This window comes from Homo sapiens, chromosome 18 (genome assembly GCF_000001405.40).
Source record: "Homo sapiens chromosome 18, GRCh38.p14 Primary Assembly".
NCBI classification, from domain to species: Eukaryota; Metazoa; Chordata; class Mammalia; order Primates; family Hominidae; genus Homo; species Homo sapiens.
The window spans coordinates 35,788,974-35,798,601 of NC_000018.10; the positions used below are offsets into that span (position 1 = coordinate 35,788,974).

A 9,628-nucleotide genomic window follows, 5' to 3' on the forward strand; every position below is an offset into this window, starting at 1 on the left:
TGTTGCCCGGGCTGGAGTACAGTGATGTAATCACGGTTCACTGCTGCCTTGGCCTCCCAGGTTCAAATGAGCCTTCCACTTCAGCCTCCCAAGTAGCTAGGACCACAGGTGTGCACCACCACCCTGTTAATTTTTTTAGTTTTTGAAGAGAGAGCGTCCCACTATGCTGTCCAGGCTAGTCCCAAACTTCCAGGCTCAAGGGATCTTCCTGCCTCAGCCTCCCAAAGTGTTGGGATTACAGATATGAGCCACCACACTCAGCCTCTTTCATAGTTTTATGTAGTTCACAGCTAGTTGTGTTGATTGGTAATGGAGCTAAATTCTTCATATCGGCATCGTGTTCAAATTGCACACATACTAGAACTGTACCATTAGCAAACCCACACATTCTTTGAACTGCAGTGAAAAATTCACCAGTTTTATCTGTTCTAAGAGTTGGTTTTCTGTATCACTGGTCAGTTCTTGAGTACATCAAGCTATGTTGTTGAAACATGGGGTTAAAATAACACAGGTTTAAAAATAAATAATTGGACTTTTATTTCTCTAATTTAATAATTTGCTAAACCTAAACCAAACAAGCTTGAATAAAAATTGAAAATAAGAAGTTAGAAAATAAGTAAATGCTTACATTTCTCAGATTTTGATAATTTTGGATTTCAATCATCACACTAAAACTGAAACCATACATGTTGTAACATGTATCTAGCACACAGACTATACCATGCACAATTTGTCATGTAAGTTTCACAAATGCAAACTGGTCCTGCCCTGGAGATGAGTCTAGTGGTCACACACTTGGGTGTCATGGCAGTGTCCGACTGCTGTAGAAGTTACTCAGTGCTTGCTCTAGTTTCCGTACTGATTTTCTCAGGGATCAGGAACAGACTGTGGACAGCATGAGTTCATGGAGCACAGTTTGAGTAGCATGGCATTGTACTATTCTCTGTGCTTTTGAGTGTATATGTTTTTTAATACTGCATAACAAACTATCACAAAATTAACATCTTAAACCCACACACACTTATCTCACAGCTTTCATGGGTTAGGAGTCCAGGTGGGCCTAGCTAGGTCCTTTGCTCATGGTTTCACAAAGCTGCAGTCAAGGTGTCAGTGGGCTGCATTCCCATCTGAAGAATGCAACTTGAAAAGAATGCACTTCAAGCTCCCTCAGGTTTGGAGAACTTCAGCTTCTTACAGTGGTAGGACTGAGGTCCTCAGCTCCTGAGGGCTGCTGCTCCCCTCCAGCGGTTTATAAGACAGCTGTTTGCTTCACTGGGACCAGTAGAAGACAGAGTCTCTTTTAAAGAGCTCATTTGATTAGGTCACACCTGGCCAGGTAAATCACTCTTTCAGTTAATTTAAAGCCAATTGATTAGACATCTTAACTACTTAACTATATCTTCAAAATTACTTCACCTTTACCACCTAATGAAACCTAATCATGGACACCACCACATGGAGACATCATGGGACTCTCTTAGAAGCTGGTTGTGGTGGCTCGCACCTGTAATCCCAGCTACTCTAGAGCCTGAGGCACAAGAATCACTTGAACCTGGGAGTTGGAGCTTACAGTGAGCCAAGATGGCACCACTGCACTCCAGCCAGGGAGACAGAATGAGACTGTGTCTCAAAAAAAACGTATAGTGTCCAAGATGGCCGAATAGAAACAGCTCCATTCTACAGCTCCCAGCGTGAGTGACGCAGAAGATGGGTGATTTCTGCATTTCCAACTTAGGTACCGGGTTCATCTCACTGGGGCTTGTCAGAGAGTGGGCGTAGGACAGTGGGTACAGCCCACCGAGCGTGAGCCGAAGCAGGGCGAGGCATCGCCTCACCCGGGAAGTGCAAGGGGTCAGGCAATTCCCTTTCCTAGCCAAGGGAAGCTGTGACAGACAGCACCTGGAAAATCGGGTCATTCCCACCATAATACTGCGTTTTTCCAACAGTCTTAGCAAATGGCACACCAGGAGATCATGTCCCGTGCCTGGCTCAGAGGGTCCCACGCCCACAGAGCCTTGCTCATTGCCAGCACAGCAGTCTGAGATCGAACCTCAAGGTGGCAGCAAGGCTGAGGGAGGGGCGCCCGCCATTGCTAAGGCTTGAGTAGGTAAACAAAGTGGCCGGGAAGCTCGAACTGTGTGGAGCCCACCACAGCTCAAGGAGGCCTGCCTGCCTCTGTAGACTCCACCTCTGGGGGCAGGGCATAGCTGAACAGAAGGCAGCAGAAACCTCTCCACACTTTAATGTCCCTGTCTGACAGCTTGGAAGAGAGTAGTGGTTCTCCCAGCACAGAGTTTGAGATCTGAGAATGGAGAGACTGCCTCCTCAAGTGGGTCCCTGACCCCCGAGTAGCCTAACTGGGAGGCACCCCCCAGTAGGGGCAGACTGACACCTCACACGGCCAGGTACTCCTCTGAGACAAAACCTCCAGAGGAACGATCACAGAGCAACATTTACTGTTCACCAATATCCACTGTTCTGCAGCCTCCGCTGCTGATACCCAGGCAAACAGGGTCTGGAGTGGACCTCCAGCAAACTCCAAAAGACCTGGAGCTGAGGGTCCTGACTGTTAGAAGGAAAACTAACAAACAGAAAGGACATCCACACCAAAACCCCATCTGTATGTCACCATCATCAAAGACCAAAGGTGGATAAAACCACAAAGATGGGGAAAAAACAGAACAGAAAAACTGAAAATTCTAAAAATCAGAGCTCCTCTCCTCCTCCAAAGGAATGCAGCTCCTCACCAGCAATGGAACACAGCTGGACGGAGAATGACTTTGACAAGTTGAGAGAAGAAGGCTACAGACAATCAACCTTCTCTGAGTTAAAGGAGGAAGTTCGAACCCATCATAAAGAAGTTAGAAACCTTGAAATAAGATTACAGGAATTGCTAACTAGAATAACCAATGCAGATAAGTCCTTAAAGGACCTGATGGAGATGAAAACCATGGCATGAGAACTACGTGACGGATGCACAACCTTCAGTAGCTGATTTGATCAACTGGAAGAAAGGGTATCAGTGATGGAACATCAAATGAATGAAATGAAGTGAGAAGAGAAGTTTAGAGAAAAAACAATAAAAAGAAACAAAGCCTCCAAGAAATATAGGAATATGTGAATAGACCAAATCTACGTCTGATTGGTGTACCTGAAAGTGATGGGGAGAACAGAACCAAGCTGGAAAACACTCTGCAGGATATTACCCAGGAGAACTTCCCCAACCTAGCAAGGCAGGCCAACACTCAAATTCAGGAAATACAGAGAATGCCACAAAGATACTCCTCGAGAAGAGCAACTCCAAGACACATAATTGTCAGATTCACCAAAGTTGAAATGAAGGAAAAAATGTTAAGGGCAGCCAGAGAGAACGGTCAGGTTACCCACAAAGGGAAGCCCATCAGACTAACAGCTGATCTCTTGGCAGAAACTCTACAAGCCAGAAGAGAGTGGGGGCCAATATTCAACGTGCTTAAAGAATTTTCAAGCCAGAATTTCATATCCAGCCAAACTAAGCTTCATAATTGAAGGAGAAGTAAAATACTTTACAGACAAGCAAATGCTGAGAGATTTTGTCACTACCAGGCCTGCCCTAAAAGAGCTCCTGAAGGAAGCACTAAACATGGAAAGGAACAACTGTACCAGCCACTGCAAAAACATGCCAAATTGTAAAGACCATCGAGGCTAGGAAGAAACTGCATCAACTAACGAGCAAAATAACCAGCTAACATCATAATGACAGGATCAAATTCACACATAACAATATTAACCTTAAATGTAAATGGGCTAAATGCTCCAATTAAAAGACACAGACTGGCAAATTGGATAAAGAGTCAAGACCCATCAGTGTGCTGTATTCAGGAAACCCATCTCACATGCAGAGACACACATAGGCTCAAAATAAAGGGATGGAGGAAGAGCTACCAAGCAAATGGAAAACAAAAAAAGGCAGGGGTTGCAATCCTAGTCTCTGATAAAACAGACTTTAAACCAACAAAGATCAAAAGAAACAAAGAAGGCCATTACATAATGGTAAAGGGATCAATTCAACAAGAAGAGCTAACTATCCTAAATATATATGCACCCAATACAGGAGCACCCAGATTCACAAAGCAAGTCCTTAGAGACCTACAAAAAGACTTAGACTCCCACACAATAATAATGGGAGGCTTTAACACCCCACTGTCAACATTAGACAGGTCAACGAGACAGAAAGTTAACAAGGATATCCAAGAATTGAACTCAGCTCTGCACCAAGCGGACCTAATAGATATCTACAGAACTCTCCACCCCAAATCAACAGAATATACATTCTTCTCAGCACCACAGTGCACCTATTCCAAAATTGACCACACAGTTGGAAGTAAAGCACTCCTCAGCAAATTAAAACAACAGAAATTATAACAAACTGTCTCTCAGACCACAGTGCAATCAAACTAGAACTCAGGATTAAGAAACTTACTCAAAACTGCTCAACTACATGGAAACTGAACAACCTGCCCCTGAATGACTACTGGGTACATACCGAAATGAAGGCAGAAATAAAGATGTTCTTTGAAACCAATGAGAACAAAGACACAACATACCAGAATCTCTGGGACACATTCAAAGCAGTGTGTAGAGGGAAATTTATAGCACTAAATGCCCACAAGAGAAAGCAGGAAAGATCTAAAATTGACACCCTAACATCACAATTAAAAGAACTAGAAAAGCAAGAGCAAACACATTCAAAAGCTAGCAGAAGGCAAGAAATAACTAAGATCAGAGCACAACTGAAGGAGATAAGAGACACAAAAAACCCTTCAAAAAAACCAATGAATCCAGGAGCTGGTTTTTTGAAAAGATTAACAAAATTGATAGACCACTGGCAAGACTAATAAAGAAGAAAAGAGAGAAGAATCAAATAGACGCAATAAAAAATGATACAGGGAATATCACCACAGATCCCACAGAAATACAAACTACCATCAGAGAACACTATAAACACCTCTACGCAAATAAACTAGAAAATCTAGAAGAAATGGATAAATTCCTTGACACATACACCCTCCCAAGACTAAACCAGAAAGAATTTGAATCTCTTAATAGATCAATAACAGGCTCTGAAATTGAGGCAATAATTAATAGCTTACCACCCAAAAAAAGTCCAGGATCAGATGGATTCACAGCTGAATTCTATCAGAGGTACAAGAAGGAGCTGGTACCATTCCTTCTGAAACTATTCCAATCAATAGGAAAAGAGGGAATCCTCCCTAACTCATTTTATGAGGCCAGCATCATCCTGATACCAAAGCCTGGCAGAGACACAACAAAAAAAGAGAATTTTAGACCAATATCCCTGATAAGCATCGATGCGAAAATCCTCAATAATATACTGGCAAACAAAATCCAGCAGCACATCAAAAAGCTTATCCACCATGATCAAGTGGGCTTCATCCCTGGGATGCAAGACTGGTTCAACATATGCAAATCAATAAATGTAATCCAGCATATAAACAGAACCAAAGACAAAAACCACATGATTATCTCAATAGATGCTGAAAAGGCCTTTGACAAAATTCAACAGCCCTTCATGCTAAAAACTCTTAATAAATTAGGTATTGATGGGACGTATCTCAAAATAATAAGAGCTATTTATGACAAACCCACAGCCAGTGTCATACTGAATGGGCAAAAACTGGAAGCATTCCCTTTGAAAACTGGCACAAGACAGGGATGCCCTCTCTCACCACTCCTATTCAACATAGTGTTGGAAGTTCTGGCCAGGGCAATCAGGCAGCAGAAAGAAATAAAGGGTGTTCAATTAGGAAAAGAGCAAGACAAATTGTCCCTGTTTGCAGATGACATGATTGTATATCTAGAAAACCCCATCGTCTCAGCCCAAAATCTCAAGCTGATAAGCAACTTCAGCGAAGTCTCAGTATACAAAATCAATGTGCAAAAATTACAAGCATTCTTATACACCAATAACAGACAAACAGAGAGCCAAATCAGGAGTGGATTCCCATTCACAATTGCTTCAAAGAGAATAAAATACCTAGGAATCCAATCTACAAGGGATGTGAAGGACCTCTTCAAGGAGAACTACAAACCACTGCTCAACGAAATAAAAGAGGATACAAACAAATGGAAGAACATTCCATGCTCATGGATAGGAAGAATCAATATTGTGAAAATGGCCATACTGCACAAGGTAATTTATAGATTCAATGCCATCCCCATCAAGCTACCAATGACTTTCTTCACAGAATTGGAAAAAACTACTTTAAAGTTCATATGGAACCAAAAAAGAGCCTACATTGCCAAGTCAATCCTAAGCCAAAAGAACAAAGCTGGAGGCATCACGTTACCAGACTTCAAACTATACTACAAGGCTATAAGTAACCAAAACAGCATGGTACTGGTACCAAAACAGAGATATAGACCAAGGGAACAGAACAGAGCCCTCAGAAATAATACCACACATCTACAACCATCTGATCTTCGACAAACCTGACAAAAATAAGAAATGCGGAAAGGATTCTCGATTTAATAAATGGTGCTGGGAAAACTGGCTAGCAATATGTAGAAAGCTGAAACCGGATCCCTTCCTTACACCTTATACAAAAATTAATTCAAGATGGATTAAAGACATAAATGTTACACCTAAAACCATAAAAACCCTAGAAGAAAACCTAGGCAATACCATTCAGGACATAGGCATGGGCAAGGACTTCATGTCGAAAACACCAAAAGCAATGGCAACAAAAGCCAAAATTGACAAATGGGATCTAATTAAACTAAAGAGCTTCTGCACAGCAAAAGAAACTGCCATCAGAGTGAACAGGCAACTTCAGAATGGGAGAAAATGTTTGCAGTCTACTCATCTGACAAAGGGCTAATATCCAGAATCTACAATGAACTCAAACAAATTTACAAGAAAACAAACAAACAACCCCATCAAAAAGTGGGTGAAGGATATGAACAGACACTTCTCAAAAGAAGACATTTATGCAGGCAAAAAACACATGAAAAAATGCTCACCATCACTGGCCATCAGAGAAATGCAAATCAAAACCACAATGAGATACTATCTCACACCAGTTAGAATGGCAATCATTAAAAGTCAGGAAACAACAGGTGCTGGAGAGGTTGTGGAGAAATAGGAACACTTTTACACTGTTGGTGGGAGTGTAAACTAGTTCAACCACTGTGGAAGACAGTGTGGCAATTCCTTAAGAATCTAGAACTAGAAATACCATTTGACCCAGCCATCCCATTACTGGGTATATACCCAAAGGATTATAAATCATGCTGCTATAAAGACACATGCACACGTATGTTTATTGCGGCACTATTCACAATAGCAAAGACTTGGAACCAACCCAAATGTCCATCAATGATAGACCAGATTAAGAAAATGTGGCACATATACATCATGGAATACTATGCAGCCATAAAAACGGATGAGTTCATGTCCTTTTTAGGGACATGGATGAAGCTGGAAACCATCATTCTGAGCAAACTATCACGGGGACAAAAAGCCAAACACCTCATGTTCTCTCATAGGTGAGAATTGAACAATGAGAACACTTGGACACAGGAAGGGGAACATCACACACCAGGGCCTGTCGTGGGGTCGGGGGAGTGGGGAGGGATAGCATTAGGAGAAATACCTAATGTAAATGACGAGTCTATGGGTGCAGCACACCAGCATGGCACATGTATACATATGTAACAAACCTGCACATTGTGCACATGTACCCTAGAATTTAAAGTATTATAAAAAAAAAGAAGAAAAGAGAGAAGAATCAAATAGACACAATAAAAAATGACAAAGGGGATATCACCAAAAAAAAAAAAAAATAAAAACGTATAATGTTAGCTGCGGTTTTTCGGATGCCCTTTATCATGGTAAGGAAGTTTCCTTCTATTCCTAGTTTGTTGATTGCTTTTATCATGAAAGATTGCTGAATTTTTGTCAAATGCTTTTTCTCCTTCTATTGAGATTATGTGGCTTTAGCCTTTATTCTATTGAAAGTGGGAGAAGGCACCACAAAGGGTGGTGATGATTTTTTTTTGAGATGTAATCTAGCTCTGTCGCCAGGCTGAAGCACAAGCTCAGCTCACTGCAGTCTCATCCTCCTGGGTTCAAGTGATTCTCCTGCCTCAGCCTCCCAAGTAGCTGGGATTACAGGCACGCGCTGCCATGGCCAGCTAAGTTTTGTATGTTTAGTAGAGACGGGGTTTCACCATGTTGGTCAGGATGGTCCTCATCTCCTGACCTCATGATCCACCCACCTCGGCCTCCCAAAGTGCTGGGATTACAGCCGTGAGCCCACGCGCCCGGCAAGGTGGTGATCTTTTAAGGCCCAGCCACTCGGTCCTCTAGTGAAATGTGGCCATTAACTGTCCTGAGATCTGACCAACCATAGGAGCAACTTACCCCTTAGAGGGAGACTGTGTTGGGGCTGAAAGAGAAGCATGGAGAGAAGGTTTGGAAATGCTCTTTTTCCAACTGGAAACTCTTAGAGGACAGGGAAATTATTTTATACATTTATAAATTATCTATTTGTGGCTGGGCACGGTGGTTTACACCTGCAACACCAGCACTTTGGCAGGCCGAGGCAGGTGGATCACAAGGTCAGGAGTTTGAGACCAGCCTGGCCAATATGGTGAAACCCCGTCTCTACTAAAAATACAAAAATTAGCCGGGCGTGGTGGCGGGCGCCTGTAGTCCCAGCTACTTGGGAGGCTGAGGCAGGAGAATTGCTTGAACCCAGGAGGCAGAGGATGCAGTGAGCTGAGATCGTACCACTGCACTCCAACCTGGGCAACAGAGCAAGGCTCTGTTTCAAAAAAAAAAAAAAACAAACAATATCTATTTGTAATGCCTCATTCCTAGCACTTACCTGGCACACAGTATTCAGTAAATATTGTAGAACTGAATTTGAGATTTACATTTTAAGACTGGTATTGACAAGTGTGGGTCAACCCAGGATATGGCATCTGGAAGGTGGAGAGGTCTGGAAAATGTATAATATGAGCCACACCTGTAGGTTTGGGTCATTGCTAGGGCTGGGAGGGGGATTTTCTTTATTACAGAAATACAGCAGAACAAAGGCTACTGACTGAAGGATACAACAGGGACACGGTTTAAGGCTCTAACAATATAAAGAAGATGCTTCCAACAATCAGCCCTTTAAGCAGAGGAAGTGCTGCTTTGAGAAGCTGCATGAGCTTAGAGCAGCACAAAGGGGCCTCTGGTGCCAAGTAGAGAATTAAGCCCAAGAGCTTCCAAATCTGAGTTTATGAAAACTAACTTCATATGGGATTTGAGAGAAAGATAAGGGAATGATTGAACCAAACATTTAAAAACCAGATTTACATTTTAAAAATCCCATTTAAAAAAAGAAATCCTATTTCTTTTCTCTTTATCCACCCTGCAGATAATGTATTTCAAAGACATTGTACGCCTCACATGTTTATGTTGTATTATCATTAGGTCTTTAGAGTTAAATATAATCAGTCTTCGGGAATATTGAGTTTTTGTGCCATTATGTCCTGAAATCATTTATATCAAAGCTGAAATGGATTAAAGTAAACATACTTTTGTCTCCGAAAGTTCAAGGTTATCTATGACTTTGGA

General features: G+C 42.0%; 1 annotated feature.

The window, feature by feature from the left end:
• Positions 1,555–2,057: an enhancer, noted in NCBI's record as "H3K27ac-H3K4me1 hESC enhancer chr18:33370492-33370994 (GRCh37/hg19 assembly coordinates)". NCBI's record gives its function as "activates a minimal SCP1, AML or CMV promoter by ChIP-STARR-seq in naive H9 embryonic stem cells {active_cell/tissue: H9 hESC(naive)}" and the evidence as "EXISTENCE:reporter gene assay evidence [ECO:0000049][PMID:30033119]".